Consider the following 20,436-nt stretch of genomic DNA (forward strand, 5'->3'; position numbering starts at 1 on the left):
GTGCCTGTAGTCCTAGCTACTTGGGAAGCTGAGGTGGGAGGACTGCTTAAGCCTAGAAGTTCTAGGCTGTAGTGCACTACGATTCCACCACTGTACTCCAGCTGGGGCAACAGAATAAGACTCTGTCTCAGAGAAAAAAAAAAAAAAAACAGGGGCCAGATATGGTGGCCCATTCTTGTAATCCCAGCACTTTGGGAGGCCGAGGCAGGTCAATCACTTGAGCCTAGGAGTTCAAGACCAGCCTGGGCAACATGATGAAACACCATCTCTACAGAAAATACAAAACTTAACCAGGCATGGTGGTGCATGTCTGTGGTCCCAGCTACTTGGAAGACTGAGACGGGAGCCTGAGGAGGTTGAAGCTGCAGTGAGCTGTGATTGCACCACTGCACTCCAGCCTGGGCAACAGAGTGAGACACTGTCTCAAAAAAACAAAAACAAAAATTCCCAGAAATTTAGGAAGCAAAACTCCAGTCGTGTTTAACAGAAGGCCTGCAGCATGTAGTTAAATATCAAGTTTTATGCAATAAGTTGTATACCATTAGAAAACAGCACTTAATTACAGAAAAAGTGTATTGGGGAGGGAGGTGTCATGTAATTTCCTACAGCCTCATCTGAAAATTGGAGGGAGGATTGTGTTGGCAGCTACTCATGTAAAAAGAAAAATGTTTCAAGGAGGCACAACAGAAAGGCAGCCAAAACAAAATACTATGGTTGGGTACTATGTGGTCATATATAGCTCTATATTTAAGGGAGAATCAAGTAGCTTCCATTCATAAACTAAGTAACCATCTACAGCTCACACACTGTTAGAAGTCACCATAGCTGGGCGGGTGTGGTGGCTCTTGCCTGTAATCCCAGCACTTTGGGAGGGCGAGGTTGAGTGGATCACTTGAGCCCAGGAGTTTGAGACCAGCCTGGGCAACACAGTGAAACCCCGTCTCTACTAAAAATACAAAAATTAGCTGGGCATGGTGGTGCGCACCTGTAATCTCAGCTACTCGGGAGGCTCGAGAATCACTTGAACCCAGGAGGCGAAGGTTGCAGTGAGTCGAGATTGAGCCACTGCACGCCAGCCTGGGTAACAGAGTGAGACTCCATCTCAAAAAAAAAAAAAAAGAAGTCACCATAACATGGAGGCACAAACTTGCAATTAACCAGACAAGGGCTCAAGTACCTTAAACAGTATTACACAGAGTAACAAACTACTACCAGACAGTTTTCTTAAAAGGGTCCTATTTTGTCTGCTTTGAGAGGGGTTAAAAGAAACAAACCAAAAAAACAAACCAAAAAACCCCAACCAACCCTCTATGAATAGCATCAGTTGCTTAACTTCTACTTTATTTAGCAAATCCTTTGTGCAAAGTGTAAGGAATATTTGGTCTAGCATAGTTTGGGTCAAATCATCATAAGCCACACTCATAAAGACCATAAGATGAAGATTTAATGAGCTGCTCTTTTTTAAACAGAGAGGACATCTTGAATTACCAGTTAGTCTTGGACCTCCTCCATATCTACTATAGAAAATGTCAGCTGCATATTCAGATATCCTCTTCATAATTGATATTTTATCCGGGTGAAGCTTGTCATGGGAACACAGGCAAGCGTGATTATCAATAGGTTTGGTAGGTGTTGATTCATCCAACCACTTTTGCAGCCATTCCAGAGAGACAAACTCATAGGGCTCTGAGAAAGCAAGCATCGGAAAGAGCCTATGTATTTTTACAGTTTTTTGACTAAGTGATACATTCATTTTTCTCAAAAGACAATGCAAACTCTGTCCAGAGTTAGCAGAATCAGAAGAATCATTGTCTGGGGGAAGATGTTTGATGAGTACGACACAAAGCTCCAGTTAAGTGCCACTCCTATGAGTTCAAGGAGCTGTGCACCATAATGCTGAGTCTGCACAGTGCCCTATGAGATCGGCTGGTATTATTAACCACATTCTACAAGAGGCATCCACATAGAGTCTTGCCGAATAGCACAGCAGAGCTTTGATCAGGACACCCATGTTTGTTGACTACAAGTCATGCTCCATTGCTGCCTCACAAATAACACAACCTCATGCCCTACTGTGTTTATTTCATAAATTATTTTTGTCAGTACTTTTCACATATATGTGATATACATCTGAAAATTAAAATGAGAAGCCAAACTGAAATAAACCTCACCGACTATGACCACACTTCAGAAGACGCTTTTAACCACTGAACTTTCTTCATCCAAGATGATACTGATGGCAATTTTGAAAAGGTATTTAATTCCCCCACCCAAATCCAAGTCATGATCTCTTCATTATATTATTATTTATTTCAAGAAAGTAACCTATTTTAAACAAGTTCGAGGATAAAGTACACTAGAACTGAGTCATCAATTTTGAAGTTGCAAAAATTAAAAGACAAAACCAAACACCTCAAAATGAGTTTTAATTTGGGGAAAGGAAGTCCCTAGAATTCCCTAAAAGCCAAAATCAAAGATAAAGGGCCAGCTTTGATTACTTACAAAGATCTCCAGTGAGTCCCAGCATAAAACATAGAAGAAAACATACAGAGGTTGAATTTATATTTTTGTATTATATACTCCTTCTGATGAGATCTGAGGGACAGATACTTCAACGCAAAGCCCATTGTGACCAGTTTTATACTCCCCAGAGAGTTACATGTCTAGAAAACTAACTCCCATTTTAATTTTACAGTAAACCATCTCAATTTTTATGAAAACAAAATTTGGCACTGTACATCATCAACTAAGAGCCTTCTAACTGGTCAAGTCGAATGTGGCTCCAGAGGAAGAGCACAGGACTGTGAGTCGAGGTCACGGTCTAATCCAAGTTCTGCTACCAAGAAAATGAACCTGAACAAGTCACTTAAACTTTCTATGTTTCCAGTCTTTTATTTGTAAAATGAAGGTAATAATACCTGCCTTCTACCTACCTCATGGGAATGTTGTTGAGTATAAAAGATAAGCTATGTGAAGCATTTTGAGCTTTTTGGAAGAAAAGAGATATGGAAAAGTTAATTATACATTTACGTAAACTTAATATATAAAAGAGGAGACCTTGGCTGGGCATGGTGGCTCACGCCTGTAATCCTAGCACTTTGGGAGGCCGAGGCGGGCAGATCACCTGAGGTCCAGAGTTTGAGACCAGCCTGACCAACAGGGAGAAACCCCGTCTGTACTAAAAATACAAAAAATTAGCTGGGCATGGCGGCACACGACTGTAATACCAGCTATTCGGGAGGCTGAGGCAGGAGAATCACTTGAACCCGGGACGCGGAGGTTGTGGTGAGCTGACATTGCACCAGTGCGCTCTAGCCTGGGCAACAAGAGTGAAATTCCATCTCAAAAAAAAAAAAGAGGAGACTTTAAGATGCAGTATATGTAACACAGCTGCAGCACTTTACAGTATATCATGGTATGGCTAATTACATTCAAAATGCCTCCCGACTTTATTTGCCATTTATCAAGCTTAATCTGCCAGGGATAGAGTACACTGGGTATCTGGGGAATGCAAAGATAAATGATCCCTTTCTGAAAGCAAGATCAAAGTCTTAGCATACTCTCATCTTTTCCCAAGGACAGTCAATTAGATTAAAATGGTAAGCAATATGAAGGCTATCAAAGGAGAAAAAACAGGATTGTGATAAAGAGCAACATTCAAGAATAAGTCACTAGGCATCCTAGTTTCCCCAGCAGCTGGGGAGGAGTGGACAGACAGCAGTATCTGTTATTGCTAACTGAAAGAAAACACCCTAAGAATCCTGGCCCTCACAATGAAAGGAATCTAGGAAAGCTCAAAATGCACAAAGCCCTCCTTGCCAGGGGATGTCTGCAGGAATTCAAAGCCTAGGGTGACTGTGGCCCTGACTGTCCAGCAACAATGTGGCTCAAAGGCAAGACAACATTTTCCAATCTCACAGAAAACTTCCAAGGAAAGCTTGTTGTTTTGGTTTTTGAATTGTTCAATATAAATTTAATGTAAGATACAATGATTAGAAAAACTATGTACGGTTTTATAGTAAGAGGAGGAAGACAGAAAGCAGAGAACAGGCCTATAATTCTAATCTAATACCATGCTTACTACTAACAGCAAGTTCTCCAGATTTCACTTTAGTGCGCTGTGGGCTCCATGAAGGAAGAGTGACTATGGTCACAGAAGTCTGTCTTTCTTTCCATTTTCAGTCTCTATCATCATAAAGAGTTGCACTGACTCTGCCAAGAGCTTGCCTGAGAATACAAGTGGAGCACAAGTCTCATAGTTAAGGCAGATTCTGTTTGTGGCAAAGTTTTTACACTACAGATGTTTCTGCACTAGAAAAAGACTCTAAGTAGGCCCCTCAAATATATTCCCTAGTATTTGTGATTCAGTAAACTACAAGCATTGCTTTCCAAAGGCCATGGACATAATCAACTCCAAATGAGGGAGAACTCTCCTATTATCAAGCTGGAGATACCGGACTATATGAAACCTCAGCATTTGATGAGGAAAGCAAAATATTAAAATATTTACCACAGGGAAATATACATTTTGGTTCAAAGTTCTTTAAAAAGAAAAAAAAAAACCTGGATTTTGAACATGACACATTTTCTTTGGAAAGTTATAAAGTCTAGAACAATCACAGCATCAAAAACATCTGAAACACTTTACCTAGAGATAATTTAAGTATATTTCAATGGAAATAAAAAGGGCCAAAAGCACGTTCCTACTGAGGCTTAGATTTTAGGGTAAGTGATCTTTGTTTTTTTAAATATGTTCACACACAAAAATAAGATTTAGAAAATGCATAACAAAAGACTTCTCTTGCCAGCACAAAACCATGCTCATTAACTTTGAGATTCTACATAATTTTACAGCGTGGACTGTCTACAATATAAGTTTACTGCAAATGGAAAAGAATTATATAGCTCATAATTGGTAAAAGTATAAATAACACAGAGAAATACTCTAAGAACATAAGCATATTCTAAGAACATAAGGTTCCTATATGCTGAATGAAAACAGCCAAAGGAAGCACAGTGCTAACTTGACACATAACATCTTTGAACTCTATAGTTCTAAAGAGTGGTTCAAATGAGTATTTCACTTTAGACCCAGTTAAGTCCCTTTCTCTTGCCCAGTGGACACAGGAAACCGTGAATAAAGTTTGGAAAATAGATTTCTAGGTCCCAACACCTTTGAACAAAGACCTATAAATTTAGAGATCTGAATCATGGGTTCATTTCCAAATCATTTCCAGTTACATTAAGGTCAGTTTAATTATTTAGGGTAATCCCAACCCTTGGACAGAGTTAAAGTAACAGATTACAAAGAAGGGTCAGAATTGAATTAAAATTTAGTTAAAATATATTCTTATAGACTTGGCAATTTTTGTTTACATTTTGCTTAAAGTTATACTAGTAATGGAAAATTAAGATATTAAAAAGACAAACCACAAGTACAATTATGCTTAAGTATTTATTTTCTAAAGTAAGGACTAAATTGTCTCTCTTCCTTAAGTAGGAATTAGGCTTGGGGAATTCATGTCTTTAAAATGACAAAGATAACTTAATACAAATGGCACATCAGCCTTTAAAAAGGCTTAATTTGGTTTCATTTTGAGACATCAGGTAAACCTGAATAAACATATACAGAAAAGGGATAAGCTGGATTATGTGGGATATTTCTAAGAAATCAGGGGTCAGCAGAAAGCTTTTCTACTCTTAGCATAATATTTGGTATTAAACTTCAAGTTAATCTAATAGTATCAAAAAAACTGTATTCATATAATAGAATGTCTGTTAAAACTGTTAGGTCACAAAGTATGCAAAGAAACAGAACAGGCAAGTTGCTTTTTCCATAGTAATCCAATCGGATTTTTCTTAAACAAGTTAATATCTCACAAAATATAAATATCTACAATACTCATGGATGCAGAGTGCTGACCTAAATGTTATAATTTATTAACAGCTTCCCATTTTTAGGAGTACAACGTAATGAAATAATATGGAATGCTACACATCAAGTTATTGTTGGTTTACAAAGTACTTTTAGAGTGTTTAAGCTGGCTTTAGTGGGTTATTAGAAAGAGTAAGTTTGAGAAAGTTTCTTCATATACATTTGTGAACATAAAAAAACAAGGCACTTAATGGCAACAGTGCTGTCCCAGAATATCTTACAGACCAGCTCCAGCAGGTAACCTTTGGTACAGCTCCTTAACCTCTTCGTGTTTTGCTTTTCCTTTATCCACACTTTGCTTACGCATCTCAGCCATTTCAATACACCACTCCTCAAATTTGGAATTATCCCGATCTACCAGCTCTTGAAGAAAGGCTATTCAAAACAGAAAGACAAAAAACAACTTTATTCTTGTTTTCACATATAGTGAACCATGCTAATCTCTAAATCATATCAAATACTGATTAAAACATTGGCAGAAATTCCAACTATGGTCTCCCTGTCTGCTAGAAACCTCCAAACTGAAGGCAGAAGTAAAAGTGAAGACAGCCACTGGAATAATCCTAAATTGATTCCCCCCACCTAGCTCTCCATGACATCATCAGCCTCCCAGAACAATCGAATGGCTCAAAATCACCACTTTAGAATAGATGACGCCAGGCGGGCGCAGTGGCTCATACCTGTAATCCCAGCACTTTGGAAGGCTGAGGCGGGTGGATCGTGAGGTCAAGAATTCAAGACCAGCCTGGCCAAGATGGTGAAACCCCATCTCTACTAAAAATACAAAAATTAGCTGGGCGTGGTGGCACGCACCTGTAATCCCAGCTACTCGGGAGGCTGAGGCACAGAACTGCTTAAACCCAGGAGGCAGAGGTTGCAGTGAGCTGAGACTGCACCACTGCACTCCAGCCTGGGCGAAAGAATGAGACTCCGCCTCAAAAAAAAAAAAAAAAGAAAGAATAGATGATGCCACCAAGCTTAGAAAAGTGCTGAGTAAAATGATTCAGACTCAGACTGTCTTCAGGGCAGCAACAACTCTACCTTTTATATTATGAAGTCTAGAATATCTATAGATAATTAAATAAAATTCACAAATACTCTATAAACCGAACAAAATAAAACCAAATTATACTTTAAATACATGTTTTGATTACTTTCTGATTTTTTAATAATTGCATTGCTTTATTTCAGAAGCTCCTTTCTTAAAAGTAAATTTGCAATTAATATTTACTTTCACCAACATTCACCTTATGGAATCAATTTATCATAGTAACTAAAAGCAATCCATTACTTATCATTAATCTTTGAGTATGGCATTCTAAAACATTTGCCTGCTATAATCCTGGAAAACTGCTTTACCTGGAACTTGAACAGTAGTGTTGGGCTTTTCTTGAGTTTGCAGTCTATAAACCAACATATATGCATTTCGAGAGCAATGAGTTCCTTTGCCACACTTGGGTTTACGTGTCTGAGACTTAGAAGGTTCTGCTGAGATAGAGAAATCAAAAGGTACCTTAACTTAAGTGCCTAGAGTTTGTTTATTCTTTAGCGGGGCTATAGAAAACAATTTCCAAAATATACACCCAAGACACATTAACACCAATCTAAAACATTCAAAGGCCATAGAAATTTGGCAGGCTCTTTAGCTTTAATATTTAAAAAAGTTTACTACCACTATTGCCTGCCACATTCTATTTTTTAAAGGTAAAAAGAAAATACATTTTTCTGGGGAACAAACCTAGAACAACAACAAAAAAATCACTATTGCCATAAGCTGATTTTTATGTTAGTCTTAAATTACAAAAATTAACTGAAGCCGGGCACAGTGGCTCATGCTTGTAATCATAGCACTCTAGGAGGCCAAGATGGGCAGATCACTTGAAGCCAGAAGTTCAAGACCAGCCTGGCCAAAACATGGAGAAGCCCTGTCTCTACTAATAATACAAAAATTAAGCAGGTGTGGTGGTGCGCACCTGCAGTCCACCTACTTGGGAGGCTGACACAAGTGAATCGATTGAACCCAGGAGGCAGAGGTTGCAGTGAGCCGAGATCACACTCCAGCCTGGGTGACAGAGCAAGACTCTGTCTCATGAAAAAGAAAAAGTTAAATTAAATTAAATTAAAAAATAAAAACAGGCCAGGTGCGGTGGCTCACACCTGGCCAACATGGTGAAAACCCATCTGTCTAAAAACACAAAAATTAGTCGGGCATGTTGGCACATGCCTGTAATCCCAGCTATTCGGGAGCCTGAGGCAGGAGAATCGCTTGAACCCAGGAGGCAGAGGTTGCAGTGTGTCACTGCACTCCTGTCTGGGGGACAGAGTGAAACTCTGCCTCAAAAAAATAAATAAATAAAAATCAAGACTGATGCAATCACTAAAGGGAATATGGGACTTCAACTCTACTGGAAATATTTTTATTCTTTTTTTTTTTTTTGAGACAGTCTTGCTCTGTCGGCAGGCTAGAGTGCAGTGGCGCGATCTTGGCTCACTGCAACCTCTACCTCCTGGGTTCAAGCGATTCTCATGCCTCAGCCTCTCAAGTAGCTGGGATTACAGGCACGTGTCACCACACCCAGCTAATTTTTGTATTTTTAGTAGAGAGAAGATTTCACCATGTTGGCCAGGATGGTCTCGATCTACTGACCTCACAATCTGCCCGCCTCAGCCTCCCAAAGTGTTGGGATTACAGGCGTGAGCCACTGCACCTGGCTGAAATATTTTTATTCTCAATGATTGCTTGGTACACAAGTATTTGTTTTAATGTTGTTTTTTAATAAAAGTATATATAAAATGTATATGTACAGTTTGAAAAATAAAAATTAGCTCAGTAATCATTTTAGTAAACAGATTTTCTTCAATTTAGTCAAAATAATACAAATAAATCTAGACTTAATTGCCCAAATAAATAAAATAGCATATTTTCTTTTCTTTTTTTGAGACAGAATTTCGCTCGTCTCCCAGGCTGGAGTGGAATGGCACGATCTCAGTGTACTGCAATCTCTGCCTCCCAGGTTCAAGTGATTCTCCTGCCTTAGCCTCCCCATTAGCTAGGATTACAGGCGTGTGTCACCACGCCAGGGTAATTTTTGCATTTTTAGTGGAGATGAGGATTTACCACGTTGGCCAGGCTGGTCTCAAACTCCTGACCTCAGGTGATCCTCCCTCCTCGGCCTCCCAAAGTGCTGGGATTACAGGAGTGAGCCACCCCACCCAGCCTAAAATAGCATAATTTTTAAAAATGAAATGAAATGGGCCAGGTGCGGTGGCTCATGCCTGTAATCCCAGCACTTTGGGAGGCCGAGGCAGGTAGATCACCTGAGGTCAGGAGTTCGAGGCCAGCCTGGCCAACACAGTAAAAGCCCGTATCTACTAAAACTATAAAAATTAGCCAGGGGTCTGTAATCCCAGCTACTCAGGAGGCTGATGCAGCAGAATCAGTTGAACCCAGGAGGCAGAGGTTGCAGTGAGCCAAGATCACGCCACTGTACTGCAGCCTGGGTGACAGTGAGACTCAGTCTCCAAAAAGAAAAAACAAAAGGAATGAAATGCTAACAACCAGAAACATTAGCCACTAATCTCTATGACGTAAACAGCAACTGGAAAACATGAAGTGTTTCAGATGGCAACTATAGCACATGAAAACGATTTTCAAATTGGGTTTCAGCGTTCCAGGTAACTTTCCGAGAGGTAAGGGATTATAGCGGCGGATCATTTGAGATCAGGAATTCGAAACCAGTCTGGCCAACGTGGTGAAACCCCATCTCTACTAAAAATACAAATAATTAGCCAGGCATGGTGACGCGCCCCTCTAATCCTAGCTACTTGGGAGGCTGAGGAAGGAGAACTGCTTGAACCCAGAAGGCGGAGATTGTGGTGGGCCAAGATAGCACCACTGCACTCCAGCCTGGGCGACACAGTGAGACTCTGTCTCAAAAACAAAAAAAGAGGTTATGGGCAGTTCTAAGGAAATCCAGTTACCAGATCCTCAATTCACCACGTGCTTTTCTAAAATGGATCTGCCTCAACACTGAGGTCCCACGATGGTTTCTACCTCTCTTTTCACAATCAGTTGACTCCCACGTCACAAAAGAAAGATATAACCTCTCAGCCAGTGACAGAAAAAGGTCTCATCTATCACATTGAGATATATTTACAAAAAAAGTACATTTACAGTAAAATTTTACTGTTTAATAAAATTTATAACATACTTTCATGAGTTTTATCAATTATGTAGTAATATTCATAATTTTAAAAACAGCACTCTATCCAGAAGTACTTTTTAACTATTTAGAGCTTTACAGTCACAAAAAACTTACTATATTCCATTAGAATAAAATTCTGTAGGGTAAACATAATGGAAATAGTAGTACAGAAGAAAATAGAATTGTTAAAAATGCCTACTATAAAACAAGACCTGTTCAGTTATCCTTGAAAAGGATGCTGGTGGATATAAAACCTCTATGGTATTTAATATAATCTGGACATTCTTAAAAGAGTGATGTCACAATTTAAGTTTCAGTATTCATTATGTCATAAATTATAGCATTTGGAGCTACTTAAAATTTATGATGAAATTTGTTAGATTTTAAAATGTGCAAAGAAAAAAAAAGTTGTTCAACTTTTTTTGTTTTCCCTTGCACCTATGCTTGGATGTTAAACATTCTTACAGACAACGCCTGAACAAAAAAGGTTGGAAGATCACTGTACTGTCACAGGGAATTAAAATACCAGGAACATGCACAGGTAAGAGGAGGTTAGTCATCCATTCCTAATTAAGAGTACCCAAGGCTGGGCATGGTGGCTCACGCCTGTAATCCTAGCACTTTGGGAGGCCGAGGCAGGCGGATCACTTGAGGTCAGGAGTTTGAAACCAGCCTGGCCAACATGGTGAAACCCCGTCTCTACTAAAAATACAAAAAATTGGTCAGGCGTGGTGGCACGTGCCTGTAATCCTAGTTACTCAGGAGGCTGAAGCAGGAGAATCGTTTGAACCTGGGAGGTGGAAGTTGTAGTGAGCCGAGATCGCGCCATTGCACTCCAGCCTGGCCGACAGAGGAAGACTCTGTCTCAAAACAAAAAAAAGAGTACCCAAGATTTAAGATGTTAATGATTTTGTATAAGATGGAATATAAAATGATTCATAAAACTTCAGGATACAACATAATAATGAATGTCTAATGAAATTTAAAAATATTTTCTATTTTTGATTTAAAAGATGAAAGCTAAAATATATGCTGCATAAAATAGTGAGTTATGAAAACACTGGAATGAGATACCAATGGGTGTTAAGTATTTTCTTGAACTGTTTTAAAATCTAGGACTACCCATATATAAGACAGCCTTAACAATGCTTTTAATCCTAGAATGTAGATAGATTTTAAAAAAACCCAGTAAAAAACAGTCAAATAAAACCAAGACATAATTTTTCACAATTTAAAGTTCTTTTTTTTTTTCTTTTTTTTCAGACAAGGTCTCACTCCGTAGCCCAGGCTGGAGTGCAGTGGTGCAATCATGGCTCACTGAAGCCTTGATCTCCTGGGCTCAAGCATCCTCCTACCTCAGCCTCCTAAAGTGTTGGGATTATAGATGTAAGCCACCTCGCTCAACCCAGTTAATGTGCTATCTCAATTTTGTTCCTAGTAAGAATGTCATAATGAAAACATACACTGTATAAGCAAATGTTGAGAATTTGAGTTTTACTTAGGTAAAATGGGAGCGAGATTGCTGAAGTTCTATAAACACAGAAATGTTATTTAAAAGTAGAAAACAGGTTGGGCACGGAAGCTCATGTCTGTAATGCCAACACTTTTGGGAGGCCAAGTGCAAGGATCGTCTAAGGGCAGGAATTCAAAAGCAACCTGGGGAACCCAGGGAGACTCTGTCTCTGTAACAAATTACAAAATTAGCCAGGTGTGGTGGATCACACCTGTGGTCTCAGTTACTTGGGAAGCTGAGGCAGGAGGATTATTTGAGTCCAGGAGTTCGAGGCTGCAGTGAGCCATGTTCATGCCACTGTACTCCAGCCTGGGCAACAGAGCAAGACTCTGTCTCAAAAAAATATATAAATAAAAGGAAAGAAAATAAAATTTAAAAGTGAAAGAATGACTTCTCCAAGCTACATGAATGGAGTTAACAAACGATTATCTGTAGAGATGATGCATATGCCTCGAAAGCAAATCTCAACTGCTATGTTCCTGCCTACTGGACACCTTGAATAAATGTCTCTGACCTATTAAGAAAGAAGAGTGGCAGGAGACACACACTTACTCCCATTTCTTTTCTCCAATTCAGATACCATAGTCTGAACCTCATCCAAAGCTGTTTAGCACTTTCTTGTGAAATGATATGACCACACTTGTGAGTCTGCATGTGTCATCTCACTGTGCTGTGTGTTAGATTTCCAGAACAAAGTATGTGCCCTTGGACAATTGCCTATACCTGTCTGACAGACAATGGGAAGAAAGTGATAAACAGCTCAGGAGATGGAGCTCAGGAGATGGCTCCAACTAGAAAAACTGTCCATTCCTTTGGAAAATAAATGGGTACTTAGGCCCAAGACAACTGAGGTGATGAAAGTACATACTAGGATACTATTTTAAGAAGTAGTCTTTATGGCAGACCTCACTACTACACAGTAGCAACCAGCTCATTTTCCACAGAAGCACTGCTCAAGGATTTGGGTAAGATACTTAAAGGAAGGAGAAACAAAGTTTACCTGCTAGAATTAGTTCCCCAAAATAAATTTCCTGACCCAAGGAAAATAATTACAAATCCTACTACATTAAATCTACTATTCATCATCACTAACTTAATGCCCATGATCCTCCCCTACCCACTTAAATAAACCTGGTAATTAAAAACTGATCATTTGCCTTCAAGCTTTACTGAAAACATGACATTATGAAAACCATCTCTGGAACAAAATAATTGTAAATTTTTTTAACTAAAATTTTAAAAAGCAAGCATTGCTACCTGGGCGTGGTAGCTCATGCCTTGTAATCCCAACACTTTGGGAGGCCAAGGCGGGAGGACTGTTAAACTCAGGAGTTCGAAACTAGCCTGGGCAACCAGGTAAGACCCCGTCTCCACAAAAAAATTGTTTTAAACATTTTTGCCAGGTTGGCCGGGCATGATGGTTCACACCTGTAATCCCAGCACTTTGGGAGTTCAAGGCAGGCAGATCACTGGAGGCCAGGAACTCAAGACCAGCCTGGCCAACACAGTGAAACCCTGTCTCTATTAAAAATAGAAAAAATTAAGGCCAGGTGCAGTGGCTTACGCCTGTAATCCCAGCACCTTGGGGGGCCAAGGCAGGTGGATCACCTGAGGTCAGGAGTTCGAGACCAGTCTGACCAACATTGTGAAACCTTGTCTCTACTAAAAATACAAAATCAGCCAGCCGTGGTGACACATGCCTGTAATCCCAGCTACTTGGGAGGCTGAGGCAGGAGAATCACTTGAACTTGAAAGGTAGAGTTTACAGTGAGCCGAAATCTCGCCATTGCACTCCAGCCTGGACAAGAAGGCAACAAGAGCGGAAAAAAAAAAAAAAAAAGGAAAGAGAAGGAAAAGGAAGAATTAGCTGAGCATTGTGGCACATGCCTGTAATCCCAGCTACTCAGGAGGCTGAGGCACGAGAACTGCTTGAACCCAGGAGGCAGAGGTTGCAGTGAGCCAAGATGGTGTTACTGCACTCCAGCCTTAGTGACAGAGTAAGACTCTCTCTTACTGAAAAAAATTTTGACAAAATTTTTACCTGACAAAAAAAATTTTGTCAGGTGTGGTGGCACTTATCTGTAGGCCCAGCTACTAGGAAGGGAAGGCTGAGGCAGGAAGATCACTTGAGCCTAGCAGGTTTAGGCTGCAGTCAGCCATGACTGTACCACTGCATTCCAGCCTGGGCAAGAGAGTAAGAACCGGACTCGAAAAACAAGCATTGCTAATACAAGATGTTCAGTGATTTTACATGTGTTTAAGAAATGCAAATATCCTTGATAGTCTGTAACATAACAATCTTGAGCCATAATAATTTATCACAAATATTTCTAGTAAAATAAATTTATATTTTAAAAGGGCACTCACAACTTAAAGGTTTTACCTAGATCTTCCTCAATCCCTAGTTGTAATTTCTTCCCCTCCATCTTTTCTATGTCTTCATCATTAAACTTATACCATTCACCAGACTGTGGATCTTTCACGTGGGCGATGTAGTGGCCAGAATAAGCACTCACTCCTCTGTGTATGAGGACTGCGCTGAGTTCATACACGTAGGACCCACCTGGAGAGAAAGGGAGAAAGTAAAAGAAACGTTGGATAACAGTTATTTCTTATATCCTGAGCCTGAATTGTAATGATTACGAATCTTTACACATGTGGTATAACTAAAAACATGTCACCTAAAATTTTTACAAATTAGTTTTACAAAATAATGTATAATTACACTCCCTTAACACTCTCTTAGACACACTCTGAACAGCACACTGTATTAATTCTCCAAGCCTCTGCAAAATACACGGATGAAAAACTACGGCCTCCTGGGCACTCAGGGAATATAAGCTACTCTACTACACACCGTGCTCTTCAGCACACACTAGCGAGGCCACACGCTTCCCAAGAATCGGCTGTTCATACTCTCTGTGTGTTACGAAACTTAAAACTTATACAAACCAGGGAGACACGAATGTCAAATGAAAAGGCTATTGTTTATAGAAGAGAAGATAAATGCTTTGGCAAAAACTGACGGCAAGTCATGAAAATTTGCTCTCAAAACAGGTGTAGGCATTTGTCCAAGGGCACAAACTTTGATCTGGAGATCTAACACCCAGCGCGTTGAGATGACACATGCAGACTCACAATTGTGGTCACCATTTCACAGACACATGTATCATCACATTAGCACCTTCAGATCAAAGTTTCATTTGCCAAGTCTACCTCATTAAAGCTGGAAAAAAATAAAAATAAAAACAGGTGTAGGCCAAACAGTTGGAAAATATAGGGATGAAAACTTAAAAAATCTAGAATGATACTGCACTCAGATTTCTTCGTATTTTAAGTTCCTATGCTATTTTAATTAAATAAAATCTACAAATCATAGCCTATATTTTACACGGTATTCAAAAAGAAAAGGCTTTATACATACATCAAAATATTGACAATAAATGAACATTTACATTTCAAAGTGAACTAAAATGTCTTAAAATTTGAGAAACATCTTGTAAAGATCCTCAACTTAAAGCAATTATGGGGAAAATGTGTTAGAAAAGATCACTTCCACTATACATGTTCTGTTATTTACTGGAAAACAAAACAATTCATTAATAAACCCACATAACCACAATTAATACTGAAACCTACAGTTTTTTTCCAACAAATAATATCTTTTCACATCATTATTCTTCTAAAAATTACTTATAATGACTATATATAATTACCATAATATGCCTAACCACATCCACATTAATGAACACTTATTTAAACTGGTAATGTTTGAGGGCCTTTATAAGCAATAATAATTATCTTTACAGTACAAATCTTTGCACAGATCTTTGACAATTTTTTTTTTTTTCCCTGAGACGGGGTCTTGTTCTGTCACCAGACTAGGGTGCAGTGGCACAATCATAGCTCACTGCAGCTTCAACCTCCTGGGCTTAAACAATCCTCCCACCTCAACCTCCAGGAGTAGCTGGGATGACAGGTGTACATTTTTATTTATTTATTTATTTATTTTGAGATGGAGTTTTGCTCATGTTGCCCAGGCTGGAGTGCAATGGCGTGATCTCGGCTCACTGCAACCTCTGCTTCCTGGGTTCAAGTGATTCTCCTGCCCCAGCCTCCCAAGCAGCTGGGGTTACAGGCACACACCACCACACCCGGCTAATTTTTGTATTTTTAGTAGAGACGGGGTTTCACCATGTTGGCCAGGCTAGTCTCGAACTCCTGACCTCAGGTGATCCATCTGCCTCGGCCTCCCAAAGTGCTGGGATTACAGGCATAAGCCACCACGCCTGGCCTTTTTTTTTTTTTTTGAGATGGAGTTTCACTCTTGTTGCCCAGGCCAGAGTGCAATGGTGTGATCTCGGCCCACTGCAACCTCCGCCCCCCTGGGGTCATGCGATTCTCTTGCCTCAACCTCCCAAGTAGCTGAGATTACAGGCACCCAACATCATGCCTGGCTAAGTTTTTGTATTTTTAGTAGAGATGGGGTTTCACCACGTTGGCCAAGCTGGTCTCAAACTGCAGGCCTCAAGTGGTCCATCTGCCTCGGCCTCCCAAAGTGCTGGGATTACAGGTGTGAGCCACCACGCCCGGCCCATTTTTTTTTTTTATAGACAGGGTCTCATTGTCTTGCCCAGGCTAGAATTTGACTATTTCATTGCTATAATTTCCTTAAAAATGCAAAAGAGTACATCACAGCAGAGTATAGCCAATCACTCATTAGACAAACAGTAAACATACTGGACACGGTTTCAGGCATGAAGGATACAGCAGTTAATTAACTAAAGGAACAGAGTCCCTGCATTCTTGAAGCATAGATGGGGAAACAGTAATGCAGATTAATACCTGGGCCAAAACCCACTGAACTCACCCCAGCTGAAAACACTGAAGATACTGGGTAAGATAAAAATATTTTTAAATCTTTCTAAATGCATTGTCAAGAAAATAAGAATTATCAGAAGCCCAATACCATGTGAAGGCAATAAGCCATGTAGTAAGGACAACAGAGTTTCCCTCTGCGAGTGTTAGGGGAACACTATGATCGACTTGAACTCTGTTTTTCCGTATCTCAAAGGGCTTACGGGATCAGAGACAACAGCTAAGGTTCATAAAAGGTGAGGAGTCTAACAGGGGACTCCCACCAGGAAACTAAGGTTTTTTTTTAATTGACAAACAGGCTGGGCGCAGTGGCTCACACCTAAATCCCAGCACTTTGTGAGGCTGAGGCAGGCAGATCACCTGAGGTCAGGAGTTTGAGACTAGCCTGGCCAGCATGGTGAAACCCCCTCTCTACTAAAAATACAAAAATTAGTCAAGCATGGTATTGAGTGCCTGTAATCCCAGCTACTCAGGAAGCTGAGGCAGGAAAACTGCTTGAACCCGGGAGGCGGAGGTTGCAGTGAGCCGAGATCATGCCATTGCACTCCGGCCTGGAAAACAAGGCAAGACTCCGTCTCAAAAAAAAAAAAAAAAAAAAAAAAAAAGACAAATAATATTTGCATATATTTATGGGTACAATATGATGTTTGATATGTTTACATCATGGAATGATTAAATCAAGCTAATATATCCATTTTCTGTGGTGAGAACACTTAAAATCTGTTATTTTAGCTATTTCAAAATGCACAACGCATTATTAACTGCAGTCACCATGCTATGCAATAAAGCTCCAAAACTTACTCGTCCTGTTGAACCGAAGCTTTGTACTCTTTGAACATCACCTCCCCATTCCTCATCGCCTCTGCCATCCACCACCTCCACTCCCTGGGTTCTGGTAACCACCATTTTCTTCTCTGTTTGTACGTGTTTGACTTTTTTAGATTCTATATATAGTATCGATGAGATCATGCAGTATTTGTCTTTTTTTTGAGATGGAGTTTGGTCTTGTTGCCCAGGCTGGAGCGCAATGGCGCTGTCTGGGCTCACTGCAACCTCCACCTCCCAGGTTCAAGTGATTCCCTTGCCTCAGCTTCCCGAGTAGCTGGGATTACTGGCATGCGCCACCATGCCTGGCTAATTTTGTATTTTTAGTAGAGACGGCGTTTCTCCATGTTGGTCAGGCTGGTCTTGAACTCCCAAACTCGGGTGATCCACCCGCCTTGGCCTCCCAAAGTGCTGGGATTACAGGCATGAGCCACTGCGCCCAGGCCAGTATTTGTCTTTCTGAGCCCGGCTTGTTTCACATAGCACAATGTCCTCCAGATTCATCCATGTGATCACACATGATAGAGTATCCTTTCCATTTAAGCCTGAATAGTATTCCATTGTGTATATATACCACATTTTCTTTGAAACTAGAATTCTTTGGTTTAGAAGATTATCAAAATGAATCTGCTCTCCACAGGAAATGGTAAGAGAAAATTATCTGCCTTATACTTATATTTTGGGACCTAGGGGTAAAAATCAAAAACCAAAAGGAAATCTCCATTACAACTTCATAAGAAGCTAGCCCTCAAAAAGATTTCTTTACTATGATTTCACACTACCTATGAAGTCAGAAAAACCCCAAGCCAAGAGTTTTGTTTGATGTGGTCCTGGGACGAGTGACAATCCTAAGGAATGAGTACCATCAAAACACACACATGTCACATCACAAGTCACTCTAACTGCAAGGCAGCAAACAGCAACAAAATCAAACTGGTGAAGATTTTCACCTCAGTCAGTGGAAATAGCAAATACATAAATAAAATTTTAAGTATGTTTAAAGAAATAAATGATGAAATTAAGAGGAATAGAGATTACAGAAAATGAAAATCAAATGACGAAGAACCAAATCAAACTCCGAGAAATGGAAATCACAGTCACCGACAGTCAAAACTCTATAAATGGTTTAACCTCAGATCAGGTTGACCTGAACAGAGAACGAATAAAGTACAAGGTAGAGCTGAAGAAATTATGCAGAATGCAGGACAAATGAATGAAGAGTTGGGCGACATGCAACATAGAGTAAGAAAATCTAACACATATCTAACTGGCATTCCAGAAGGAAAGGGAGAAGAGAAAAAGCATTCAGAGGTAATAGTTGGAAAATTTTCAGATGCCCTAGGTGAGAATAATAAATCAATTAAAAATCAAACCAAGTGTTACAGCTCTTTTAGAATTTGTCTAGCAGGTTTTCCTACTAGAAAACCAGAAAAGATTTTTAAAGAATCAAAATTAAAAAAGAAACCAAACCAAAATTGGTCACAGTGACACTGCAAGATACCAAAACCAAAGAAGAGGTCTTAAAATTAGACAAAACAAAACAGGCCTCTTGTAGAGACAAGAATTAGACTGCAACCAACTTTTCAACAGCAACAACGGATGCCCCAAGGCAACAGAATGCTATCTTCTTCAATGATATCTTCAATGAGTGAAAGTAACCACCCATGCTTAGAGAAAATGAATTTCGCAAGGACAAAATAGACACTTTCAGACAATAATATGTGAAAAGAATCTTTCACCCACAGACCCTTACTAAAAGAATTTTGTAAGCTCTAATTCAATAGTTTAAAACTCTTCCAGATGGAAGGTCTAGAATGCAAAGAATGATAAACAAAGGAGGTGGGTAAACTAAACACCAAGATTCCTATATAAGATAGTCTGTAAGTTTCTTTTTTAAAAAAGGTAGAACTAAAATACATATGAAAAATAGGCCAGGTGTGGTGGTTCACGCCTGTAATCCCAGGACTTTGTGAGCCGAGGCAAGAGGACTGCTTAAGGCCGTAAGTCCGAAACCAGCCTGGGCAACACAGAGAGACCCAGTCTATAAAAACTTAAAAAATTAACCAGACATGGTACTATACACCTGTGGTCCCAGCTACTCAGGAGGCTGAGGTGGGAGGATTGCTTGAGTCTGGGAGGTCAAGGCTGCAGTGAGCCATGATCGTGCTACACTGCACTCCAGCCTCGGTGACAGAGCAAGACCATCTTAAAATAATTTAGGAGAGTGTCGATTGCTTAATGTTTTGAGATCATTGAGGGTAAAGATGTTATCTAGAGAGTTAAGAATACATGTTATAATTTCTAGTTAATTATTAGTATTAGCTGGCCCAGGCTACCCTAGGGGGCATTTTCATACTCCAATTTTAGGGTTTACTTGGAATCACCCTCCACTGTTCTTTCTACTGCACTGCACTCTCCCCGTTACTTCATGTTAAAGGTGAGCCAGAAAAAGCCTATCTTCCTAACCTCAGGGAACCATAAAGAGAACTCCTGGCTGGGCACAGTGGCTCATTCATGCCTGTAATCCCAGCACTTTTGGAGGCTGAGACAGGTGGATCACCTGAGGTCAGGAGTTCGAGACCAGCCTGGCCAACATGGTGAAACCTTGTCTCTACTAAAAATACCAAAATTAGCCAACCGTGGTGGTGCACACTTGTAATCCCAGCTACCCGAGAGGCTGAGGCATGAGAATCGCTTGAACCTGGGAGGCGGAGGTTGCGGTGAGCCAAGATCGCGGCACTGCACTCCAGCCTGGGTGACAGAGCGAGACTCTATCTCAAAAAAAAAAAGAAAAGAAAAGAAAAAGAAAAAGAAAAAGAAAAGAAAAGAAAAGAAAAAAAGAAAAAGAAAACTCCTGAGTCCTGAACAGAGCGGTAGAAATAAAAAGGAGGGAGATGTGATGGTCTTAGATTGCCCATACCAGGTTCTTCCAGTCTGTGTAAGCCAGGGAACCTCAAGCCTTGAACTCTGTAATCATACCTAACCAGCAGAGGCCCCAAATGCCTGACAGAAATAAACCTAAAGGGCTTTGTGGAGGAGATGGCATGTATCCTAGCCCTAGGGGAATCCCCATAAATAAT

The 20,436-nt window shown here is 40.1% G+C and overlaps 1 protein-coding gene and 1 pseudogene across 18 annotated transcripts in view; one reads left to right on the plus strand and one right to left on the minus strand.

Annotated features, from left to right (window-relative positions):
• The window catches only part of USP48 (ubiquitin specific peptidase 48), a 104,852-nt gene that overhangs the window by 44,112 nt on the left and 40,304 nt on the right, over positions 1-20,436 (minus strand). For 7 of the 18 annotated variants that reach the window (XM_047432027.1, NM_001350168.2, NM_001330394.3 and 4 more), the window contains 4 exons: positions 14,037-14,216; positions 7,295-7,423; positions 6,161-6,310; positions 1,489-1,686 (listed from right to left, as the gene is read on the minus strand). In XM_047432027.1, coding sequence (XP_047287983.1) covers positions 1,489-1,686; positions 6,161-6,310; positions 7,295-7,423; positions 14,037-14,216 — 657 coding nt within the window. Of the gene's footprint in view, positions 1-1,488; positions 1,687-5,441; positions 6,311-7,294; positions 7,424-14,020; positions 14,217-20,436 lie in introns of those variants that run through there. The other 11 variants (NM_001350166.2, XM_047432026.1, NM_001350167.2 and 8 more) reach the window with 6 other exon arrangements.
• Positions 18,731-18,786, plus strand: LOC124904736 (uncharacterized; annotated as a pseudogene).

This window comes from Homo sapiens, chromosome 1, assembly GCF_000001405.40.
Source record: "Homo sapiens chromosome 1, GRCh38.p14 Primary Assembly".
In the NCBI taxonomy this organism is placed as follows: Eukaryota; Metazoa; Chordata; class Mammalia; order Primates; family Hominidae; genus Homo; species Homo sapiens.